At 49.8% G+C, this 24,802-nt stretch overlaps 1 protein-coding gene across 8 annotated transcripts, besides 3 other annotated features; it reads right to left on the bottom strand.

Moving 5' to 3' along the window:
• SLC66A3 (solute carrier family 66 member 3) lies at positions 854-24,243 on the bottom strand. 8 transcript variants are annotated; one of them, NR_104231.2, is made up of 8 exons: positions 24,021-24,243; positions 19,162-19,244; positions 19,016-19,085; positions 15,449-15,506; positions 7,665-7,785; positions 6,886-6,959; positions 4,701-4,742; positions 854-1,973 (listed from the first exon to the last, which is right to left on the bottom strand). NR_104231.2 is itself a non-coding variant. In NM_152391.5 (7 exons), exons 1-7 carry the CDS (start codon positions 24,161-24,163, stop codon positions 1,882-1,884), a joined length of 609 nt encoding a protein of 202 aa, NP_689604.1. In that variant the 5' UTR covers positions 24,164-24,243; the 3' UTR covers positions 854-1,881. The 8 variants fall into 8 exon arrangements, 7 of the variants coding, with proteins under 7 accessions (NP_689604.1, NP_001269639.1, NP_001269640.1 ...); NM_152391.5 differs by lacking the exon at positions 6,886-6,959; NM_001282710.2 differs by lacking the exons at positions 4,701-4,742; positions 6,886-6,959.
• Positions 20,918-21,166: a silencer, noted in NCBI's record as "fragment chr2:11298670-11298918 (GRCh37/hg19 assembly coordinates)". NCBI's record gives its function as "represses an EF-1alpha promoter that drives an FKBP-Casp9 reporter gene in an ReSE screen in HepG2 liver carcinoma cells {active_cell/tissue: HepG2}" and the evidence as "EXISTENCE:reporter gene assay evidence [ECO:0000049][PMID:32094911]".
• Positions 23,827-24,066: a silencer, noted in NCBI's record as "silent region_11171". NCBI's record gives its function as "represses an Ori minimal core promoter by ATAC-STARR-seq in GM12878 lymphoblastoid cells {active_cell/tissue: GM12878}" and the evidence as "EXISTENCE:reporter gene assay evidence [ECO:0000049][PMID:35858748]".
• Positions 24,177-24,656: a silencer, noted in NCBI's record as "silent region_11170". NCBI's record gives its function as "represses an Ori minimal core promoter by ATAC-STARR-seq in GM12878 lymphoblastoid cells {active_cell/tissue: GM12878}" and the evidence as "EXISTENCE:reporter gene assay evidence [ECO:0000049][PMID:35858748]".

Raw genomic sequence — 24,802 nt, 5'->3', positions numbered from 1 at the left:
CCCAAAACATTTGCTTTCTCTATAAGATGGGTATAAACAGTGGGATGAGGATAGTAAATAAGTCTTAGAACTAAGGCTGTAGACTTGTGTTTCTTCTGCCCTATGATTTAATTCATGGAGAAATACCAAATTTCAACCAGGAGCCTGTCTCTGATCTGATTTGGGTGTTTTAAGACGCACGCAAATAATAGAACAAACTCATTTGAATTGGTAAGGATAGGGAAAAGAGGCAGGATGTCTGTTTTGTCAGGAAATAGTGTGCTGATTGATTGATAGGTGATTTTCTAGAAAGTGTTTCTCTGGCAATCAGTGGAACCTTTTCTAGGGCACTTATTTGCTATGTGCTCTTGGGCAGGTTATTCACTCTGAGCCTCCGTGTTTTCATCTGTAAAATGGAGATATAGATTGTGTCTACTTTACAGGATCACTGGCAGATTAAGTAAGTATGATGTGTGTAGAATGTCTGAGATGGCTCGAGTGTTTGTTGCCTTACAAAGGGGGAAAAACAGAGACCCTGTCACCTAAGTATGCTCTTAAAGGAGTTGCTTTAAGCAGTGATAAAGTACTAATGTTATCTAAATATAACATTTGTTGGACTAAAAATCATATAATTTGTATTGATGCTAATGGTCAGATTATAACTGCAAATGAAAAAAGATTAACTTGCATGTTTAAAAATATGACATCTGTAATTTTAACAACTACAGAATGAATAATTTTGTCTTTAGATACCATGTTTCTCTTCCTGTTGGTCCCAAGCAGTAGTTCTAAAAGGATTAACCAGTTTGTTTAAAAACTATACCTTACATAAAATAGTCATATTAATGATTGACAGTTTTAAGACTCAGCAGAATTCAAAATATGAAAATTTATTTTGCATAGGAAACAATAATCTCTGGTAAACATCATTACTGCATCTAACAAAACAATGCCTTCAATTAAAGGGGGAAAGTGAGTTTTTAAACATTAGGGTTAATTTAGAAGAAAATACAGTATATAATAATCTCAACATCATGTTTAGGGTAAAAATGCTATAATGTGAAAAAAGTCCCTAAGAACTGGACAGAACCTACCTAACAACACCATTTACCGTGTATGTTTTCAATAGACAAAACATATTTTGTACCAAATTCCAACAGTGGTAATTCTATAGTTGTGGCCCTTTAAAAAATGGCAGCATTGTACTTGAATCAGAAAGCTTACTGGGATTTCCTCATCGAAAGTAGAGATTGCAGCTAATCCTAGTACCTTTTGTTAGTAATTACTTAAGGCACAGTGCAAAGTTGAAGGACTGTTTTGGTACAAACTCAAGCCAGCTACATGTATGCTTGCCTTGGTATCCTTGCTAGAGCACATGCGGGTATAATACCGTATTATACACAACAAGGCCACCCTGTTGTATCTGTGTTACAATTAAACATCAGTCCCAGAAAGTGAACCCTAGTCATTTATTATAGGTGCCCACCTCTGACTTGGAACAAAATGCCACTCCATTCATGTTCATTTTTGTCCTGGAGAGGATTTATTTCCTAAAAGATTCTGAAAGCCAACAAATCAATGTAGTTCTTCATAGAGAACTTAAGAGTAAGGCTCAAAATGGCCTCAAAATGGGCTTCTTGGATGACTTCCAACAGTGACTGGCCTCAACACTGCAGATGTCTGAGCACTACCATAACCTAACGAAGTGAGGAAGGAGGAGGCAAATTGGTATTTTTAAACAAGAATTTAAGTGGCTCTTTCTTTCAAGTCTAAAAAAACCTTTGGCTTTAAAGATTATAAACTGATTTACTAAATTTATAAAAGACCTTAATTTAGCAAAGAGCTTCTTTTTCCTTTGGTTCAGTTACTCAAAATCCACTGTGTGAAGGAATAATGTATCCATCATTCAGCCTTTATAGCGGTCTTCCGGTAGCGAAGTACTGTCACTGTTACCCATATATTTAAAGCCAGCATGATCACAAAACGTAGAAGAACTGAAATAAAAAAAAAAGTGTATTAAAAACTGTCTTTACAATACAGACCAAAACCACCTCCTGCTCAAAGTATAAGCCTAAATAAAGCTTCACCCCCAACCTCCGAAATGAACAATTTTGGTTCCAGTTATTTCTGGGGAAATGATCTCCCTATCATGACAATTTTTGGCCCCTTGGCCCAACTTCATAAATAATAATTTATCATCTTAAGTGCTCAATTGACAGTAATGTGGCTCTGGCTAAGAAGGGTTATAACTTTTAACTTTTTTTTTTTTTTTTTGAGACAGTCTTGCCCTGTCACCCAGGCTGGGGTTCAGTGGCCTGTCTTGGCTCACTGCAACCTCCACCTTCTGGGTTCAAGTGATTCTCCCGCCTCAGCTCCCCAGGCACCTGGGATGACAGGTGCCCACCACCACGCCTGGCTATTTTTTGTATTTTTAGTAGAGACAGGGTTTCACCATGTTGCCCAGGCTGGTCTCAAACTCCTGACCTCAAGTAATCTGCCCACCTTGGCCTCCCAAAGTGCTGGGATTACAGGCGTGAGCCACTGTGCCCAGCCTAAGAAGGGTTATAACTTTTAAAAATCCCTTTACTCATCTGACGTCCTGAGGGTGCTGCTGTCTCAGAACGTTCCATATTAAGCAAGGGTGGTTTAACATACTCTGTTAAGATCATCCTGAAAAACTGGCCCACAGGACAAGGCATATTTTATATTCAAGTAACCATGAAAATGTGTCTCTTTGTGGAAAAATAAATAAATAAATATATATAACTTTAACAGTGACTTAACTTCTACTTTAAGGTACGGATACACTCCTGATAAATAGGTTTAATGAGATTTAAGATATCTTTGTGTTTGAAAAACACATGTAAGATTTTAGCTGAACTGTTTTTAAAAAGTTATTCCCTGGCCGGGCGCGGTGGCTCACGCCTGTAATCCCAGCACTTTGGGAGGCCGAGGCGGGCGGATCACGAGGTCAGGAGATCGAGACCATCCCGGCTAAAACGGTGAAACCCCGTCTCTACTAAAAATACAAAAAATTAGCCGGGCGTAGTGGCGGGCGCCTGTAGTCCCAGCTACTTGGGAGGCTGAGGCAGGAGAATGGCGTGAACCCGGGAGGCGGAGCTTGCAGTGAGCCGAGATCCCGCCACTGCACTCCAGCCTGGGCGACAGAGCGAGACTCCGTCTCAAAAAAAAAAAAAAAAAAAAAGTTATTCCCAGGCCGGGCGCGGTGGCACACGCCTGTAATCCCAGCACTTTGGGAGGCTGAGGTGGGCGGATCACCTGAGGTCAGGAGTTTGAGACCAGCCTGGCCAACATGGTGAAACCCCATCTCTACTAAAAATACAAAAATTAGTTGGGCATAGTAGCGCATGCCTGTAATCCCAGCTACTCTGGAGGCTGAGGCAGGAGAATTGCTTGAACCCGGGAGGCAGAGGTTGCAGTGAGCCAAGATCACACCACTGCACTCCAGCCTGGGCGACAGAGTGAGAATCCATCTCAAAACAAAACAACAACAAAAAAGTTATTCCTGGATATACTGATCACTTTCAAGAACAGCTGTCATAGATAAGAAATAAATCACAATTAGAACAATCTTGATCTTTTAATTTCTAATGTATAGGTTTTGCTGTTTACTTGTGGTTTGACTTTCCTTTCCATGCTGAGAATTCAAGTCCTGTGGAAAGACCCAAGCCTGTCTTCCTTCCCATTTCCCACTTGATCAAAGTTTATGCTTTGACCAGAACAATTTTAGTCCTATCATCAGAGCTGACAAAAAGTATTCGAGCAAAGGTATAACCTCCAGGAAGAGACTAACAAACATATCTCTGTTCTGAAGCACTATTTCTCAAATAATAATTAGCTCATTTAAAAGGTCTACATGCTGGGGACATTTTCTGATCTTCACAGGTGACACCATCTGTTCTAATCATTTTCCAAAGATGTATAATATATGCTTGATTTGGGAGTTGAAAACAGCCTAAGGAATTACTAAATTCTTTTGTGGTTAACCATAGTATTTCCTCCTCCATGACAGCTTTTTCTTTTAAAGAAACAGAACAAAAACATAGTCCATTGGTGACACCACTTCCCTGCTTCAAAGCCTCCAGAGCCTTCCTACTGTTTTGTAGGCAGTTCTTGTAGGCCCTGGATACTTGGGCCACTGCCAGTCTCGCATCCTTCCTCTCCTGAAACCCGCTTGTCACTGTCCCCCTGCTCTCCGCACTCTAGCCCTTTGTCCTTCGCTCATGACCTTCACAATGCTGCTCCTTGTTAAGAGTCTGGCCTCCGCCCACATCCTTTCCTCTGGCTAAACCTCTACTCATCCTTACGATCACTCTTCTTCAAATTAATCTGCCCAACTCCTGCAAACTAGGCCAGGTTCTCCTTAGATGCTCATCCTGCCCTACTCTTCCAAACCATGTCCCATTAGAATTCAATAGGGAATTGTGTGATTACCTCATGTCCAATTCCACTGCTTAAGTGGAAGTTCCATGGAGATAGGAATCTATTGTCTTGTGCATAGTCTATCCCCTGTACTATAAGAAGGAGAGGCTTAACAATAAAAATGGTGACCAATAAGACTAGGAATACATTGTTGCCATCTTCTAAATCTATAATCCAACAGAGCCAAGTCCATCCATTAAACCCTAAGACAGTTTACAAATGAAGGAGACACAAATAGCACAAAACTCAAAAAGGAAGTGAGAAGATATTTTGCTTACTTGTAAAATCATTGGTGGTCATTAAGGTTGTGATTATTCTTGCTGTAAAAGAAAACTTGCAGCAATAAGTAACTTGCCTCTCGGACATTTTGGGGCTTAGCTAATAATGTCTTTCCCTTTTAATATCCCAATATATATTAACCATTATTTTTAAATTATTTTTATTCTTTTTTTAACAACATATATTAACTATTCTTGACAGAGTTTGGTAGTACAGAAAACCAAATAGTGCTGTATTTCATAATTACATAAAAACTAGCCATGCCGGATCACCTGAGGTCAGGAGTTCGAGACCAGCCTGGCCAACATGGCAAAACCCTGTCTGTCTCTACTGAAAATACAAAAATTAGCCAGGTGTAGTGGCGGGCGCCTGTAATCCCAGCTACTCAGGAGGCTGCGGCAAGATAATCGCTTGAACCTGGGAGGCAAAGGTTGCAGTGAGCTGAGATTGCGCCAATTGACTCCAGCCTGGGTGACAGAGCCAGACTCCGTCTCAAAAACAAAACAAAACAAAACAAAAAACAGCCATGCATCCTACCCCAATGGCCCAATGGTTTTGAAACTGCTCATGAGGGAAGGTACCTAGAAGGTACTCGAGCGCTGCCTGCGGAAGGCCGGAGAGACTGAGCTCCCTTCCACTGTCTCTGTGCTAACCTGCAACCCCCAACCCTCCAAAAGCAACTCTCATTTACAAATTGAGCATCTGGGTAGTTTTATTTAAAGAAAGGCTCCCACTAATTAAAAACAATGTTTTGGCCAGGCACAGTGGCTCACGCCTGTAATCCCAGCATTTCGGGAGGCTGAGGCGGGTGGATCATGAGGTCAGAAGTTCGAGACCAGCCTGACCAACATGGTGAGACCCTGTCTCTATTAAAAATACAAAAATTAGCTGGGTGTGGTGGCGGGCACCTGTAATAATCCCAGCTACTTGGGAGGCTGAGGCAGGAGAATCGCTTGAAACCGGAAGGCTGAGGTTGCAGTGAGCCGAGATCATGCCACTACACTCCAGCCTAAGCGAAAGAGCGAAACTCTGTCTCAAAAAACAAACAATAAATGTTTTCGAATCACTGGTTTCTATCCTTGCATTTTATAGATAAACAGACTGAGGCCCAGAAAAGGGGAAGATTTTTCCAAGGGTCTAACTAGAACTATTTTGTTTAGTTTATTTGTGTGCCATAGCCCTTTACTTAGTAAACATTTAGGAAATTGGAGTAACAGTTTAAACCGACACACAAGAGCAGGGAGTGGCGTGACTTGGGAGTTAGAGAAGACCACTGCCTGCAGCTCAAGGCATGCCTTTCCTAGCCCAAAACCAGCCTGTCAAAACTCTCTGCTAACACATTCTGCATTTAGCACATATTGACATAGAAGTTTTTTGGTCTACCTTCCAACTAAACTGCAAGCCCCTGAAGGGCAGAGGCCAAATCCTATAAAATGTTTTGTTGACACATTTGATAAACCAAGACTTTACACACAGACACCACATAAATAGTTGTTGATTAAATCATCATTTAAATAAAAGAATTCAATCATATAAGTAGACAGAAGACTTCAGTTAGGAAGGCGGCCAACAAAGGACTCTCAGACAAACTTTTTAAAAGGCTGTTAATAACCACACATCTGACAAGGGTTAATGACCAGAATATGTAAGAAACTCAAATGACCCAATTAAAAAATGGGCAAACCATGTGAACAGACATTTCTCCAAAGAAAACATACAGGGCCAGGTGCAGTGGCTCACACCTGTAATCCCAATACTTTGGGAGGCTGAGGTGAGATGAACACTTGAGCCCAGTAGTTTGAGACCAGCCTTGGCAACATAGTGAGACCCCTCTCTACAAAAAATTGGCTGGGCGCGGTGGCTCATGCCTGTAATCCTAGCACTTTGGGAGGCCAAGGCGGGTGGATCACTTGAGGTCAGGAGTTCAAAACCAGCCTGGCCAACATGGTGAAAACTCGTCTCTACTAAAAATACAAAAATTAGCCAGGCATGGTGGCGTGTGCCTGTAATCCCAGCTACTCAGGAAGCTGAGGCAGGAGAATCGCTTGAACCTTGGAGGCAGAGGTTGCAGTGAGCCGAGATTGCACCACTGCACTCCAGCCTGGGTGACAGAGCGAGACTGTGTCTCAAAATAATAATAATAATAATTAAAAATTAGCCAGGTGTGGTGGTGTGTGCTCGTACTCCCAGCTACTTGGAAACCCGCAGTGAGTGAAGATCGTATCACTGCACTCCAGCCTGTGAGAGAGAGCGAGACCCTGTCAAAGGAAAAAAGAAAGAAAGTCTTGATTTTAAGACATAATTAAGACAAGTAACTTGTTGAATATAAAGACCAGCAACCATGGATGGAGACATTAGCCCTTTAAGATGCAGAAGAACCATGATGAAGTCTACTTAAAATATCTAAAACTAGTAAATCCAACTAATGTGATAGCTCTGAATTATAAAAATGTTTCTACCTACATATACCATATATGTATTTTAGGTAGTTTTTGTAAGAATCCAAATGAAGAGTGAAAATTCTAAAGTTGAGACCAAACAATGTGGCTGCCGAAAATCTCCATCACTACACATTTCATTCATTCTCAAAAGCCACTGTATGATTTTCATATTTTAAAACCTGTTATATTCAAATTCTTAAGATAAATTAGTACATTCAATATAATCAACCTCTTTATCCTTTCAAAGAAGACAGAGCTAATTAATATCAGGCCAGGTTTTTGGAGAAAAATAGGCTTTCACTTTTTTTTTTCTTGGCAACTTGGATTTTACAGAAAATGGAGAGCAGTTTGCATTAAATCATCTTTGTAAACATGGATACACTTAGGAGGTTCTAGCTGAGTAGCCATTTGTAAAGTAGTAAAGCGCCAGGGACCATGTTACTTCAACACCAACTTAACACCCTACTACGTAGACACTTGGTGCTACCAAAGGCCTCCCCACCATGTGAGTCCGGTTCTTACTTGCACAGGTATAGGAAGAGAGGCTCCAAGTCAGCGCACTCACAGTTCCTGAGTCTCTCGTCTTCCACAGACACTGGAGCTGTGCAAACTTACTGGCCGCGCTGATGAAAGTACATAGATTCTGTTTGCAGATAAAATGTGAGAAAGTCACGAGTCGATTTGTTAAAAAAGCAAAAGAGGCCAGGTGCGGTGGCTCACACCTGTAATTCCAGCACTTTGGGAGGCCGAGGCAGGCAGATCATGAGGTCAGGAGATCGAGACCATCCTGGCTAGCACGGTGAAACACCGTCTCTACTAAAAATACAAAAAATTAGCTGGGCGTGGTGGTGGGCGCCTGTAGTCCCAGCTACTCGGGAGGCTGAGGCAGGAGAATGGCATGAACCCGGGAGGTGGAGCTTGCAGTGAGTTGAGATCGTGCCACTGCACTCCAGCCTGGGTGACAGAGTGAGACTCCCATCTCAAAAAAAAAGCAAAAGAGCACGAGATACTCAAAGCATTTTTGAAGCCAAATTTTCAGGTCAAAATAATAATGGAATTGTACAAAGTTGAAACCTAAGTTTAGTGAAAAGTAATGCAATAGTGAGACATTTATTTATTTATTTATGACAGTCTCACTCTGTCACCCAGGCTGGAGTGTCAAAATAATAATGGATTTGTACAAAGTTGAAACCTAAGTTTGGTGAAAAAGAATGGAATAGTGAGACATTTATTTAGTTAGTTAGTTAGTTAAGACAGAGTCTCACTCTGTTGCCCAGACTGGAGTGCAGTGGCACAATCTTGGCTCACTGCAACCTCCACCTCCCAGGTTCAAGCAATTCTCCTGTCTCAGCCTCTCAAGTAGCTGGGAGTACAGGCACGTGCCACCACACCTGGCTAATGTTTGTATTTTTAGTAGAGACAGGGTTTCGCCACATTGGCCAGGCTGGTCTCAAATTCCTGACCTCAGGTGATCTGCCTGCCTCAGCCTCCCAAAATGTTGGGATTACAGGTGTGAGCCACCATGCCCAGACTAAGACATTTATTTATAACTCACAGATTCCACCGTGCAGTGGGTAACTAATGGCCAGAGCTAGTTTGAAGTTGGGAATGAGAAAGAATCAATGCTTGGCCACAGAGGTTCATCTATCTACACCTCCAATGAGAAGTAAGTACTGAGGAGCCAGGTGCGGTGGCTCAGGCCTGTAATCCCAGCACTTTGGGAGGCTGAGGCGGACGAATCACAAGGTCAGGAGTTTGAGACCAGCCTGGCCAACATGGTGAAACCCCGTCTCTACTAAAAATACAAAAAAATTAGCTGGGTGTAGTGGCGGGCGCCTGTAATCCCAGCTACTAGGAAGGCTGAGGCAGGAGAATCCCTTGAACTTGGGAGGCAGAAGTTGCAGTGAGCTGAGATCATATCACTGCACTCCAGCCCTGGCAACAGAGTGCAACTCCGTCTCAAAAAAAAAAAAAAGTACTGAGATACTGTGTTTTAGAGCTTGGGGAAATCTATGCTGTTCTGAACTGACAAACAAACTCCAGCAGCAAGCCGCGGCACCTCAGCCCTGAATTTCTGGCTATTCTGATAGTCTGTGTGGTGGTGCGCTCAGGCCTCTGCTATACAGTGAGGTAAGAGATCCTCACAAATAAGCCTGCTGCTCTGCACAGCATCCTCGACGCTGACCACCACCAGCCCTGCCAGCATCAGCCTCTTCAGCAGCTGAAACTCCAGTCTCTGGGTTGAGTGTAGACCGAAGGGAGACAAGGTGACACCTGGGAGACCAGTTAGGCTAGTGCAGTCACCTGGGTTTGTACGAGGGCAGTAGAAACAGACGAGGTGAGAAGTGTTCAGGTTCCGGATATATTTCAAAGGCAAAGCCAACAGGATTTGCTGAGGGAGTGGTAATGGGATGTGGCAAAAAGAGAAATCTGGCTGGGCACAGTGGCTGACGCCGTAATCCCACTACTTTGGGAGGCCGAGGCGGGCAGATCACGAGGTCAAGAGATCGAGACCGTCCTGGTCAACATGGTGAAACCCCATCTCTACTAAAAACACAAAAATTAGCTGGGTGTGGTGGCACGTGCCTGTAGTCCCAGCTACTCGGGAGGCTGAGGCAGGAGAATCACTTAAACCCAGGAGGTGGAGGTTGCAGTGAGCCAAGATCATGCTACTGCATTCCAGCCTGGTGACAGAGCAAGACTCTGTCTCAAAAAAAAAAAAAAAAAAAAGAGAGAAATCCAGGGTGATTCTAATCTCCGGTGTTTCTGGCCTTTGCAGTGGAAGAACAGAGTTCCCATTAACTGAGACACATTAAGATGAAGGTGGGAGAGGGGCAGGGTGGGAGATCAGAAACCCAGTTCTGGACACGCGAGGTTGGAGAGGCTCAGTCGTCAGGCAAGGGTAGCCAGTGGTTGGCTGTGCGGTGTGTGCTGGAGCCCTGGGAACACGGAAGTCAGGGAGCTGAGGAGGAACCAGCAAGGACACAGAAAGGATCAAGGGGAAGGGACACTGGGGAGCACGGCTTCCTGGAAGCCCGGTGGGCAGTGATTCAAGAAGGAGTCCTGATCGATGGTGTCAAAAGCTACCGAGATATGAATGAAGAAGAGGAATGAGAACTGGCCACAGGCTCTGGCGCGAATGAAAGCCGCTGGCCTTGACAAGAGCAGCTTGTTTACCTTCTGTCTCCCCTGGAGAAGGAAAGCTCATGGGGAACACTCGGTCTGTTTCCTGCTGGGTCCCCAGGACCTGTGACAGTGCTGGCACCTGGCCGGCACTCAACAAATCCTTGCTGAGGGAATAAATCCTTAATAATAATGCAGTCTGGCAAACGTGATGATAAAGGTGCATCCAGGATGACTTGGGAGGAGAGAAGGCGTCACTTGGACAAGGAAGAATTATGGAGAAGGGAGGCAGGGTGCAGTGGCTCAAGCCTGTAATCCCAGCACTTCGGGAGGCCAAGGCAGGAGGATCACTTGAGGCCAGGAGTTCGAGACCAGCCTGACCAACATGGTGAAACCCCATCTCTACAAAAAATATAAAAATTAGCCAGGCGTGGTGGCGTGTGCCTGTGGTCCCAGCTACTCAGGAGGCTCAGGCACAAGAATCATTTGAACCCAGAAGGCAGAGGTTGCAGTGAGCCGAGATCACACCACTGCACTCTAGCCTGAACAACAGGGTCAGACTCTGTCTCACAAGAAAAAAAAAAGGAATTATGGAGAAGGGAACCGCAGGGAGTGCTCTTGGGCAGAGGAGTTGACCAAGAACCTGTGGTCAGGCCTGTGGCAGGACTAAAGTCACCCTGAGAGCTGGGTGCAGATGCTCGGAGGATGGCTGGCCCCAGGCAGGGAGACCTGTGAGGAGAGGGGCTCTTGTGCAATCAGGAGACCTGGACAGAGCAGAGGAGGGAGGACTGCAGGGGAGGGCTCGCACCAGAGAACCAGCCAGAACACAGGCTCGGCGGGGTGGCGAGGAGTCGGTGCGGAATGGGAAGAGCTGGGGAAGCTGGCTTTGTTCACACACATCAGGGTCCCAGACCACATTACAACACACTCGTGTTAAACACAAGCTTGCCTGCTAGATATTCTACCAGATTCATCTTTCAGGAACAAAGCTATTTTTACAGTCCTGAAGTAGTGTTGGTTTGGGCCCCAACCAAGCCCTGGAATGTCTTATCACATTAATTCAATTGGAGACTATGAAGTTTTTCTGTAAAACAGTCTAATCCAGGAACAGGATTGGAAAGAAGGGATGCTTAGCTGTCACGGAGAGCTTTTTTTTTTTTTTCAGACAGAGTCTTGCTGTCACCCAGGCTGGAGTGCAGTGGCTCAATCTTGGCTCACTGCAACCTCTGCCTCCCGGGTTCACGCCATTCTCCTGCCTCACCCTCCTGAGTAGCTGGGACTACAGGTGCCCGCCACCACACCCGGCTAATTTTTTTTTATATATTTTTAGTAGAGACGAGGTTTCACCGTGTTAGCCAGGATGGTCTTGATCTCCTGACCTTGTGATCCGCCCGTCTCGGCCTCCCAGAGTGCTGGGATCACAGGCGTGAGCCACCGCACCCGGCCTTGCAGATCATTTTTAAGTACTTTAATCATTTTCTTGTGAATAAACTATGAGTATATGAATTATCAATTTAACCATGAAAGCACAGTTTAGGACCTCTGGGGGAACGATCTCGGGTACCTGCATTTGAAAGCCAAAAAAATGGAACATTCTACAATGGAGGTTTTCCACTGATTCAAGCAGCACCCGCTCCTCTCTAGGATTCTGGGGTTTTGCTACCATGTGTGAGCTCTGAAGGCCCTGCTCGTTCTCCTGCACTGGGGCTCCACGACCCTCAGATCTGGGCCACCTTGTGCCCCGGACCCTGGTACCTCAGAGCAGGTGCGTGAGGAACACTCATTGAGTCAGTGAAGGAGGGCTATGGGCAGACACAGCACGGAGCCTGGTGTTCAGCCCTTGCATGATAAAGGAAAGAATCAAAATTATATTCCATGAAATGTTATATCATCAATGTTATAGTTAGAATAGATGACTACTGCTAAGGGCACAGAACAAACACCTAAAAGCTGTTGTTGCCCTTGACCCCTGAACTTGATTCTTTTGTTTTGTTTTGTTTTTGAAATGGAGTCTTGCTCTGTTGCCCAGGCTGGAGTGCAATGGCTTGATCTTGGCTCACTGCAACCTCCGCCTCCCGGGTTCAAGCGATTCTCCTGCCTCAGCCTCCCGAGTAGCTGGGATTACAGGCATGCGCCACCACACCCAGATAATTTTTGTATTTTTAGTAGACGGGGTTTCGCCATTTTGACCAGGCTGGTCTCGAACTGCTGACCTCAGGTGATCTGCACGCCTCGGCCTCCCAAAGCTCTGGGATAACAGGCATGAGCCACCACATCCCTCCATTCTTGACAAGCCTGTATCTCAACACTGCTAGAAGGATGTTTCCTCAGGGGTGAAGGCTCACAGCTGCTGTATGGGGGCTAATAGAACTAGAACCACCCCAACTCATCAGTAGTAAGACCTACTGAGAACATAGAGATGGCTCATTTACAGGGTTGTGAGAGTTGGCAAACAAAAATACAGGACATCTAGTTAAATTTAAATTTCAGAACAACAACAAATAATGTTTTAGTACAAGTATGTCCCATGCAATATTTTGTTTGTTTTTTGAGATGCAGTCTCGCTCTGTCACCCAGGCTGGAGTGCAGTGGCGTGATCCTGGCTCACTGCAAGCTCCGCCTCCGGGGTTGAAGCGATTCTCCTGACTCAGTCTCCCAAGTAGCTGGGATTACAGGTGCCCGCCACCATGCATGGCTAATTTTTGTATTTTCTTTTAGTAGAGAACAGGGTTTCGCCTGTTGGCCAGGCTGGCCTCCAACTCCTGACCTCAGGTCATCTGCCTGCCTCGGCCTCCCAAGGTGCTGAGATTCCAGACGTGAGCCACCCCACCTCGACCCATGCAGTATTTTGGACATACACGTACTGAAAAAGTGTTCCTTGTTAATATGGCAACCCTACTTATTTGCTCTCCCAAGTCACAGGGTTGAAATGTAACAGAAATGTAACAGAGAATCTAGTCTACTTTCCAGACAAGATGTTGGGGGAAAGGGGAAAGAAATTCATGAGTCTGCGTGTGGCAGGCAGTGCCCTGTGACCACCAGTTAGTTCTCCTCCTTTTCTCGTTGGGTAGAAACGTTCACTTCTGTCACCTTGGAGAGGTCTGTGGTCAAACACATCCTGAACCACCCTCAGGAGCCCTTGGAAATTTTCGGCCCTGAGCCAAGTATGAAAAAAAGTCAGCCCCTCTCCAGGACAAGGCCAACATGCCATTATGAACCTAAGAAGAAGCTAGTTAACTGATGCTCAATTCTTCATTCTAAAACTGCTAGTGGCCAGCTGCCGTGGCTCACACCTGTAATCCCAGCACTTTGGGAGGCCGAGGCGTGTGGATCATCTGAGGTCAGGAGTTCGAGACCAGCCTGGCCAACACAGTGAAACCCTGTCTCTACTAAAAATACAAAAATTAGCTGGGGATCCCTCTCCCTCTCCCTCTCTTTCCACGGTCTCCCTCTGATGCCGAGCCGAAGCTGGACTGGACTGCCGCCATCTCGGCTCACTGCAACCTCCCTGCCTGATTCTCCTGCCTCAGCCTGCCGAGTGCCTGGGATTGCAGGCGTGCGCCGCCACGCCTGACTGGTTTTCGTATTTTTTTGGTGGAGACAGGGTTTCGCTGTGTTGGCCGGGCTGGTCTCCAGCCCCTAACCGCGAGTGATCTGCCAGCCTCGGCCTCCCGAGGTGCCGGGATTGCAGATGGAGTCTCGTTCACTCAGTGCTCAATGTTGCCCAGGCTGGAGTGCAGTGACGTGATCTCGGCTCGCTACAACCTGCACCTCCCAGCCGCCTGCCTTGGCCTCCCAAAGTGCCGAGATTGCAGCCTCTGCCCGGCCGACACCCCGTCTGGGAAGTGAGGAGCGTCTCTGCCTGGCCGCCCATCGTCTGGGATGTGAGGAGCCCCTCTGCCCGGCTGCCCAGTCTGGGAAGTGAGGAGCGTCTCTGCCCGGTCGCCCATCGTCTGAGATGTGGGGAGCGCCTCTGCCCCGTCGCCCCGTCTGGGATGTGAGGAGCCCCTCTGCCCGGCTGCCCAGTCTGGGAAGTGAGGAGCACCTCTTCCCGGCCACCATCCCGTCTAGGAAGTGAGGAGTGTCTCTGCCCGGTCGCCCATCGTCTGAGATGTGGGGAGCGCCTCTGCCCCGCCGCCCAGTCTGAGAAGTGAGGAGCCCCTCTGCCCGGCAGCCGCCCCTCTGAGAAGTGAGGAGCCCCTACGCCCGGCAGCCAGCCCGTCTGGGAAGTGAGGAGCGTCTCCGCCCGGCAGCCGCCCTGTCCAGGAGGGAGGTGGGGGGTCAGCCCCCGCCCGGCCAGCCGCCCCGTCCGGGAGGTGGGGGGTGCCTCTGCCCGGCCGCCCCTTCTGGGAAGTGAGGACCCCTCTGCCCGGCCGCCACCCCGTCTGGGAGGTGTACCCAACAGCTCATTGAGAACGGGCCATGATGACAATGGTGGTTTTGTCAAATAGAAAAGGGGGAAAGGGGAAAAGATAGAGAAATCAGATTGTTGCTGTGTCTGTGTAGAAAGAAGTAGACATGGGAGACTCCATTTTGTTCTGTACTAAGAAAAATTCTTCTGCCTTGGGATGCTGTTGATCTATAACCTTACCCCCAACCCAGTGCTCTCTGAAACATGTGCTGTGTCCACTCAGGGTTAAATGGATTAAGGGCGGTGCAAGATGTGCTTTGTTAAACAGATGCTTGAAGGCAGCAGGCTCGTTAAGAATCATCACCACTCCCTAATCTCAAGTACCCAGGGACACAAACACTGCGGAAGGCCGCAGGGTCCTCTGCCTAGGAAAACCAGAGACCTTTGTTCACTTGTTTATCTGCTGACCTTCCCTCCACTATTGTCCTGTGACCCTGCCAAATCCCCCTCTGCAAGAAACACCCAAGAATAACAATAAATACTAAAAAAAAAAGAAAACAAAAATGAATCAATTAAAAAAAAAAATTAGCTGGGTGTGGTGGCACATGCCTGTAATCCCAGCTACTCGAGAGGCTGAGACAGGAGAATCCCTTGAACCCAGGAGGTGGAGGTTGTGGTGAGCCGAGATTGCGCCATTGTACTCCAGCCTGGGCAACAAGAGTGAAACTCCATTTCAAAAAAAAAAAAATATATATATATATATATAAATATCTATCAAGTTCTCTCCAAGGTAGCTTATTCCTCCTACTTTCTTTTCAAGCATAATACTTACCATGGCCAGGTCTATGATCCACTTCTGCAGGGCAAGGATGAACCAAGAAGACACCAATCTTACCAAGTGCTAAGGGACACAGCAGTGGGTCACCCACATCCGCGCCACCCTCCCATCTCACATATACAAACCAAGACCACAGACAGCGGCACGCAGAAGCCAGGTGGGTGGGAGGGGAGGACATGCTACCAGAACCTGCCGGATTTGGAAGGGACGAAAAGGGTCGCAAGTGAACACCTGCTCAGAATTCAAAAGAACGAAAACAGGTTACAGAAGAGAAATACAAAGACACCCACGCTCATGGACTGCTCCCTAGGATTGGGAACATTCCTAGTGGTTTCACTGCCCACTGAATTCTAGACCATGCAGACTTCTCTGATTTATGGTCAAAAGCTAAGCACTTAAAGGAGAAGTCCAACATTATAAAGCAGGAATGTTCTGCAAAATTGCTGTGATGTGAATTTCTGTTTACTGACTTCCACCTTTCCCCACAAACTCCACTGTAAAAATGATACAGCTGGGGTGGGCAATGCTGGAAGTCAGGCATGTGCACCGAGCTCGGTGACGCCACGGGAATAGAGGCCAGCTAGGGAGCTGAACAAGCACCCAGGAGACAGCGGCCAGGGCTGGAAGGGGACAGCCAAGAGTCTCTGGAGTGCCCTTGGGCAAGTCACTTTCCATCTTTCCACCTTGATTTGCTTATCTGTAAAATGCCTACAAGCACGTAGCACCGACTCAAGAGACTGCTGTTATTATAATTTCAAACATTAATTAAATGAAGATATTGAAACAGACAATGCCCTGTGCTAAAAGTCAGTGGAACTAAATACTCACAGCCTGATCAACACCAGAAGGTAGCTCGAAGCTGGCTGGATAGAATCCTGTTTTTAAAACACTAACTCAATTTTTAAATCTAATTTTTGTGACTCCTCCCCCCACCAATTCTGTTCTATCCCACCTCATTCTGTGTATTCTGAATATACATTTTATAAAATTTGACCAATAGTAGGAGCTCCTGAGATCCTACAGATGATTTATTTGTAGGGTTGCCAGATTTCACAAATAAAAGTACAGGACACCCAGTTAAATTTTAATTTCAGGTCGAAAACAAGTAACTTTCCCCAAGTAGCTGGGATGACAGGTATGAGACACCACACATGGCTCATTTTTTCTCTTATATTTTTGGAGCGCTAGGGAATCCCACTATGTTGCCCAGGCTAGTCTCAAACTCCTGGCCTCAAATGATCCTCCCACTTCGACCACCCAACACACTGGGATTATAGGCATGAGCCGCTACACCTGGCCAATAATTATCAGTAGAAGTATATCCCAAGCAATATTTAAAAGTATTCATTAGGCCGGGCACGGTGGCTCACGCCTGTAATCCCAGCACTTTGGGAGGCTGAGGCAGGTGGATCACGAGGTCAGGAGATCGAAACCATCCTGGCTAACATGGTGAAACCCCGTCTCTGCTAAAAATACAAAAAATTAGCCGGGCATGGTGGTGGGCGCCTGTAGTCCCAGCTACTCGGGAGGCTGAGGCAGGAGAATGGCGTGAACCCGGGAGGCGGAGCTTGCAGTGCGCTGAGATGGCACCACTGCACTCCAGCCTGGGCGACAGAGTGTGACTCCGTCTCAAAAATAAAATAAAATAAAATAAAAATAAAAGTATTCATTAATATGGTAACCCTATTCTTTCGCTCTCCGTAAGTCACAACCAATGGGAGATTATAAGCATCTTGCTGATACTACAGACTCGCCATCAGCATCCAGCCATGTGGTATCTCCCAGTGCCACCAGCACCCAAATTTTCTAATCTGCAGCCTCACTATCTTCACAAAGCTGTTGCATTTTATTTCAAAAGTAAATTATGTAACTCTTTTCATCTTCAAAGTACTGTTTACCAAAACCTTTAACCAGCTGGGACTGACCGTGAAGTGTTGAGGTGCAGTACAGCTGTGCGATCCCTCTTTCCGCAGACAGAAACTGAGGCAGCAGAGCTTGCCACTCGGGGAAACAGCAGAGGGTCAGGACTCAGCCAGAACCCAGCTCCCTCCATAGACACAGGCTGCAGAGCCTCGCCTCTAGTAAAACCACCACAATGGCCCTGTCATTTACTCTGCTTGACTGTGTTTCTGGTACTTCTAGCTCTTACAGTAACCCTAAAACATAGGCATTATGATCCCATGTCACAGATGGGGGACGCACAGTTTATGGTGTATGCTGAAGCCACCCCTGTGGTGGCAGGGACCTGTCCTGTCTGGCTCCAGGCCAACTGCTTCCCACCACTCCACACCCACATTCTCATGGCCTGCGGGCCACAGGCCTGGCTCTGCCCTCCTTCCTCCACTCTGAAGAGGGCATGGGAAGAAACAGCTCAAGCCATTTCACAGATGTGGCAGGACAGGCTGACAGCTAGTGCCATTCAAAACACTTTCTTGGGCCAGAAGTGGCAGCTCATGCCTGTAATCCCAGCACTTTGGAAAGCCAAGGTGGAAAGATCGCTTGAGTCCGGGAGTTCAAGACTAGTCTGGGTAACATACCAGGACCCAATCTCTAAAAAAAATGTTTTTTAATTAGCTGGGCATAGTAGCATGCACCTGTAGCTCCAGCTACTCAGGAGGCTGAGGCGGGAAGATTCCTTGGCCCCAGAAGTTCAAGGCTGCAGTGAGCTCTAATCCAGCCACTGCACTCCAGCCTGGGTGACATAGTGAGACCCTGTCTCTTAAAAAAAAGGTTAAAACATCTTGTAACTTGGGCAACATAGTGAGACCCCGTATCTACAAAAAATTTAAAAATTAACTGGGTGTGGTGGCATTCTTCAATAGTCCAAGCTACTCGGGAGGCTGAGGCAGGAGGATCACTTGATCAAGGCAATCAAGCTTGACCGAGGAGGTCAAGGCTGCAGTGAGCTTTGATCCCACCACTGCAACCCAGCCTAGGCCACAGAGCGAGACCGTCTCAAAATAAAAACCAAAAATGAAACAAAAAAAAAAAAACACTCTCCTGGCTTTTTAAGGAGTGTGACGTTCAACTAGTGAGTCTTTACAAAGAGAACTGAAATGAAGCCTCACCCTCATTCACAGGAAGTGCCACTGAGCAGGAACAGGTCTCTGAGCTGACCAGGCTCCCACTGCAAGCCTCTGGGCCAACAACTGCCCCTCAGACCTCAAGGTTTAGCCTCTAAGCTAACGTCTTGAGAGGCGCCGGATACTCTCATTATTATTGCTTCCAATCCTCGGAGGACATTATCAGGGCAGGAAGAAATGTCTCACATGAACTAATGCAGTTGGACGATGCTGCTCTTAGCAGGGGTGGACTCTACCGATCTGCCTTCCACTCGGCCTGCTGGCACCGCCCAGGGCATGCTGGTCTCGGAGGAGCAGCAGGGGCTGTACTGAGGGCATCTCTGGTGTACATGGACACGTTTGCATTTGGGATTTTTTTTTTTTTTTTTTTTAGTTTAACCAAAAAATACACATCTGGTAAAGGAGCCTGCTTCACAATGCATACCATTCACAAATAACATCCCCGTTCCCACTTCTGGCTCAGATTCAGAAAGGATACACAGCGATGTAAGGAGTGGCCTGCTTCACGTTCCCGTTAAAATGAAAGATACAGAGCAGGAGGATGACATCTGAAAGAGAGAGGCTCCGAGTGAGGGGGGAAGGGGAGACCCGTGGCAGTCCGCTGGACAGGGAAGGGGCTGTTACCTTGCGCGATGAGGATGGGGTACTCCAGGTAGGTCAGCGGCGGATACCCATAGTAACACTGGTACCGCAGAAACACCAGGAATCTGGAGAGAGAAGGGCACATGTCCACACGGCTGCCCCAAAACGCAGCTGTCGGGGCCTGGCAGGCACCAGAACACTGAGGTCAGTTTGCCGAATCCTTGCAGTGGGGGTGTGGACACGCCAGTGTCAAAGAGGAAGGTTTAGAACAAAATAGATGGAATTCAGTTGAATCATCTGTACAATTTTTGGAGCATCCAGAACTTACTGGGCACCGGGCCACAGTGCAATACCCACGATCTCTATAGAGTGCCTTGAGATGGTCGCTTACAAAGGATTTTTACAGAAGGCAAATCCCTGAGCAAGAATATGAGACTGGGCCTTCTGGGCCCACGCTTCTGGCCTGCCTGCCATGTTGGGCTCCCACTGACCCCGGCAGCTGCCCCTCAGCTGCTGCACACATCTGCCCTCCACTCTGAGAAGCTGCAGAGGCGCAAGGATCCGAGGAGCCGCAACCATCCCTGGATGCGGGGGTCTGTGGCCGTGTTTTTAGAGTTAGAACAGCACCTGGATGGTCCAGTTGCCTTCCAGAAGAGCTGCCCGGTTGAGAGGGCAGTGGGGGAAAGCGTGAAGAACCACCCTCAATTTCGCTAAGAAGACTCCGGCTGTGAGGATGCTGCGAAGGCCACAGGGTCCCACATTCTCAGAAGAAAAGGCAGAGCTTCCTGCCTCCCCCTCACACCCAGCCATCTCCCTTCAGGACCGGAATCCCTGTGGTCTCCTGGGGCTACCTGTTTGTCTCATCACCCAGCTTTTTGGCTCCCTCCCTCTCACCTGTGTGTTCAGACCACTCAGGTCAGGAAGAAAGGGGAGCCGGAACCATGGGACTTCAACACACAGGAGGGGCCCCCCAGGGTCTCCAATCTCCTAAGCTGGGAAGGAATCCTGGAAAAGTCCGATTCACAAACAGGCTGTGCCTCCCTGGCCTGTTTCTGACAGTGCACAACTTAGCTGGGGGCGGAGTCAGAGGAGGTCACAGTGTTGCCCTGAGCACGAGGGCCTCCCACAGGCCTGGTCCCCGAGTGCGGGCCCCCACCGTGCCCAGCAGGGTCCCCACCCCCAGCTGCCTGCAGGCCCTCCGGGTGCTGTGCAGCTGAGCCACCTCCCAGCTTCAGGGACAAGCGGTGCCTCTGCCCTGCCCTGCCGCAGGGACTCTCCTCCTGCCAGCCTCCTGAGCAGCCCCCTCTGTTCCCCTGGGAGATTGAGCCCAGGGGGGCTGGCAGAGGGGGAGGCTGCACCCCAGCCCCTCTGTGGGGCCACAGCCAGCCACTGAGTGCTGAAGAACAAAAGCTATGGGGGTCTTCACCATCGAAGTAAGTGTGTGCTGACCCCTGGGACGCAGCCACAGTCCACAGGCCAGGCCTGAGAACCTGGGGATGTCAGAGCCCGTTCTCACCTTCAGGGGTCATCCATGCTGGCCTCCACAACTTACAGACCACTTGGGGAAATGGAGGCCCATAGACACCAAGAACATACAAGATGAAGAGCCTGGATTTCCCGAGGCTGATCTGGATGCAGCCGTTGCTGCCCCTGCAGGTTTTGCCGTCTACTCCCTGCTTTCCCTGGGATTCAAACTCCCCCCATCCCTGCAGCCTGGGGAGGTGGGGTGGGGACAGTGTCTTTCCTTTAGTTTTTAATGTTTCTTTTTTTTTGAGATGGAGTCTTGCTCTGTCGCCCAGGCTGGAGTGCAGTGGCGCGATCTCAGTCACTGCAACCTCCACCTCCCGGGTTCCAGCGGTTCTCCTGCTCAGCCTCCCGAGTAGCTGAGACTACATGTGTGCCACTACACCTGGCTAATTTCTTTTTTTTGAGGCGGAGTCTTGCTCTGTCACCCAGGCTGGAGTGCAGTGGCACGATCTCGGCTCACTGCAAGCTCCGCCTCCCGGGTTCACGCCATTCTCCTGCCTCAGACTCCCAAGTAGCTGGGACTACAGGCGCCAGCCACCACGCCCAGCTAATTTTTTGTATCTTTAGTAGAGACAGGGTTTCACCGTGTTAGCCAGGATGGTCTTGATCTCCTGACCTCGTGATCCGCCGGCCTGGGCCTCCCAAAGTGCTGGGATTACAGGTGTGAGCCACTGCACCCAGCCTACACTGGTTAATTTTTGTGTTTTTAGTAGAGATGGGGTTTCACCATGTTGGCAAGGCTGGTCTTGAACTCCTGACCTCAGGTTATCTGCCCGCCTCGGCCTCCCAAAGGGCTGGGATTACAGGCATGAGCCACCATGCCTGTCCCTTTAAAGTTTCTTTTAATAAGTAATCGCTATAGTGCTTATCATAATAAAATCATGCCAGCCGGGCATCTGACACAGCCCCATTTGTTTCCATTCCCATCTGCTCCATGCAGCCATTGGAGTTTTCTCCCTCAACACCTACTAGAGGGTTAAACAAAACGTACCCCCACCCAGGCTGGGGGACAAGTGACCTGGAGCAAGGGGTGGGCTCCAAAGGCATCCTACCCAGAGGCCAAGGCTCTACAGCCTAAGGGTCCACCGTGGGAGGGCCGCAGTCCATGGAAGGCTGCAGGCAGGGCAGGTTGGATGAATCTTGTGCTCCAGGAGGCTCCTGGCTGCAGAGAGCAGGGAGGCAGAGCCCAGCAGAGCCCTGGAGGCAGGAGAAGCAGCAAGGTTGGGAACTTGCGAGGGGGAAGGCTCCAGCTACAAGGAATGCCCCTGGGTGGCAGAGGCAGGTCCCTGGGCAGAGGCTCCTGCCCTTCACACCAAGCCACACTAAAAAGGCTTTTCTGGCATTATTAAGACACACTTCATGCTCCAATTGACTCAGTGCTCTCAAAACCAGGCTCTTAGTTTGCTCAAATGGAGACCCAAAGAGGGCCCGTGCCCTCCAGGTGGCTGACTGCGACAGCCCTGGGGTTCCTTCTGCTCTAACTCCGGCTGCTGCCTGATCTGGTCAGGGGCCCGGGGGCCCAGCTGGCAAGCATGGCCAGCCCCAGGTGGGCCTCCCAGGCAAGGCTGGGAAGGGCATGAGGGAGGCAGGCAGGGAGACAGGAGGGCCAGGAGGATGGGTCCTGACACAGCCAAGCCCATTTTACAGAAGTCTGTGTGCCTGGCCCTGGCCCTGGCTTGGAGGCTGCAGAGCTGGTGCACCAGCCCCGACAGAGCCCCCTTTACCTGCACGTGATCAACTGCAAGACCCTTAGACAGGCCAGCAGGGATGGCAGCAAGCTGCTGCCCCACCCAACCCTTGAGCTCCCATGCCCAGGAAGATCCTTCCACTGCCAGAGGTCTAGCTTTCACTAAGGTGAGCTGGGAGAGGTGACAGCTGGCAGATCTAATAGGAGCCCTCACCTGCGTATCTCTGAGGGTTTGCATTTTTCAAGCAATGCTGCAAAAGTGGTGGAAATGCAGGCCTAGGGGCTGGCGGCAGGAGGGAATCTATAGACTCTACAGACAGCCTGGCTTCTTTTCCTTCATGGGTCCAGCTTCAGCTTCCCCAGCTCAGGGACCTAGCAAGGGGCCGAGGCCAAATCCCACTCCTGGCTTTCATGCCCTTGTCCCCTCTCCCACCTGAACAGTCACCACAGCCACTTCCAGCCTGTGTCCTTTGCCACAACCTCATCGCTCCAGCCTCTCTGCTCCCAGCCTGGTGGTGGCACCAACCTGAAACGCATGCTGCCCACCTCCCCTGGGTGCCTCTCAACCCTGCCATCCAGCCTGGGACCCCCCCCTCCCCACCCCGCAGGGTAGAGTCACTCACAAGCCTGGAAGAGGTCACAGTCCCTCCCACTGCAAGCCTTTCCCAAAAATTTCCCCTCAAAGCCCCCTATTGGATGACTGTGCCCAGGGCCGGGCTCCATAGGGCCGGCGCGGGGTCCAAAGCCTGAGTGGGACCCCTCACCCTCCCACACCTGAGGTCTCCTCTTTCTCCCCCGCACCCCTTGGCTTCTTCCCATCCTGTATGCCGCACCCCCCACCCCGCCCACCAGGAAGGCTTGTGTGGAGGACCAGGCTTCAGACCCCACTGGGTGATGGCGGGGGGCAAAGGGGAAGGCCTGGCCTGGCCAGGGGGAAGGGGCGAGACCACTAGGTTGAGGTATGTGTTTTCCTATTGTTGGGGCTCAAAAATGATACCCCAAAAGTTTGGCGCTCTGGCATGATGAATACTTTGAATAGGAAAGCCTTAGAAGCTGCCTCAGAATCAAGGATTTAACGACCTTTCCGTCACCCCTTCCCAACTGCAGAGACTCTCCAACTTCCTTACAGATGACTAAGGAAACTTCTTTCTACAAGAAATGCAATTGTCTTAAGACCCTCTCCCAAGGAATCTCATTAAATAACCAGGAAAGATTCCCCACCAATCACCGGGAGAAGAGAAGAGATTCATACATTCTTAGTTCAACCCCTTATTTCACAGGTGAGGAAACCGAGGCCCGAGAACGAGGTTGACGGTGCGTGGTGAGTTTAGGGACAATGAATATGACAGCCTCGAGGTGCAAATGGCCTTGCTCAGGGCCAGCAGGTTTTGTCACTAGCGCACCAAGGGCTGCCTCCGCTGGGTCTGTTTTCTCATCTGTAAAATGGGCGTGCGCAATCAATTCGTGCCACGCGGGGCTTGGTGAGAAACAATGTACGCGGGTGGCGGGTGGCCGTGGGAAGAGCACCCCGAGCCCCTAGGCTCCCTAGTTCACCCTCGGCCGCCCAGCTGCGACGCCGGCGCGCGGGGATCATCCCCGCCCTACTTCGAGCCGAGGCTCTCCTGGGCTCCCAGCCGGCAGCAGCTGCGAGGGGGCAGGAGGCAGCCCCGGCCGCCCCGGGCCTTACCCTGCCAGCTCCAGAAGTAAACTCGGAAGGCTGAGGCCCCGCGCGCTGCGCGCCGCTAGCACAGCGGAGATCTGCGGCAGCTTCAGCGCGGCGCACACGCCCAGCGTGCTCCAGTTACACAGCCCCAGCAGCGCCGCCTCCATAGCGCCACGGGCGCGGGCACCTGGGCGGCCGCAGCGAGAAGGGACCGCTCAGCCTCGGCGGCGCAGCTCTGCCGAAGCCTTCCGCCTTCCCGGGATCCGCCCGGGACCACCCGGCCAGGGCCCGCCCCTCCGCGCGCCGCCAGGCCCCGGACCCGCCTCGCTCCGCCCCTCCCCTGGACGCACCCCGCCCCCGGGCCCGCCCCGCCCCTCCCGCCCGGGCCCGCCCCGCCCCGCCCCTCCCGCCCGGGCCCGCCCCGCCCCCTGGCCAGCCTCATCTCGCCTCGCCTACGGGCCCGCCCGGGCTCGCTCAGTCCTCGGACTACCCTCATCTCGCCCCGCCCCCAGATTCGCCCCCTCCCGGTCGGCCTCACCTAGCCCAATCCCGTGGCCAACCTCGCCTCGCCCCGCCCCTCCTCGCCCCGCCCCTCCCCTCCTAGCCCCGCCCCGGGCGACAGTCCCACCCTGGCCTGCGGGCTCCACCAGCAGCTGCTTCGCATTTCCGCGTTCTTGCCACCCGATAGTTTAGCCGCCGCCGGGAGCCGCCCTGGAAGTCCGGCTTTTCCACGGGTTGGGTGGACCGAGAGGCAAATGGCCCCGGGGGATGGGCCATTCTGCCGGGATTTTTCCCTCCCTGCAAGT

The sequence above is a fragment of the Homo sapiens genome, chromosome 2, assembly GCF_000001405.40.
Source record: "Homo sapiens chromosome 2, GRCh38.p14 Primary Assembly".
Classification (NCBI taxonomy): Eukaryota; Metazoa; Chordata; class Mammalia; order Primates; family Hominidae; genus Homo; species Homo sapiens.
Note: the sequence above shows the minus strand (reverse complement) of the source record. Positions and strands in the feature narration are given on the sequence as shown.

Bases quoted from the DNA above. Each gene is read 5' to 3' on its own strand.
- SLC66A3 (NM_152391.5), bottom strand. From the start codon at position 24,163: ATGGAGGCGGCGCTGCTGGGGCTGTGTAACTGGAGCACGCTGGGCGTG. The intron at 19,245-24,020 runs GTAAGGCCCGGG...TTCTCTCTCCAG, and splicing joins TTACTTCTGGAGCTGGCAGG to ATTCCTGGTGTTTCTGCGGT. The intron at 15,507-19,015 runs GTATCCTTTCTG...GCACTTGGTAAG, and splicing joins GCCACTCCTTACATCGCTGT to ATTGGTGTCTTCTTGGTTCA.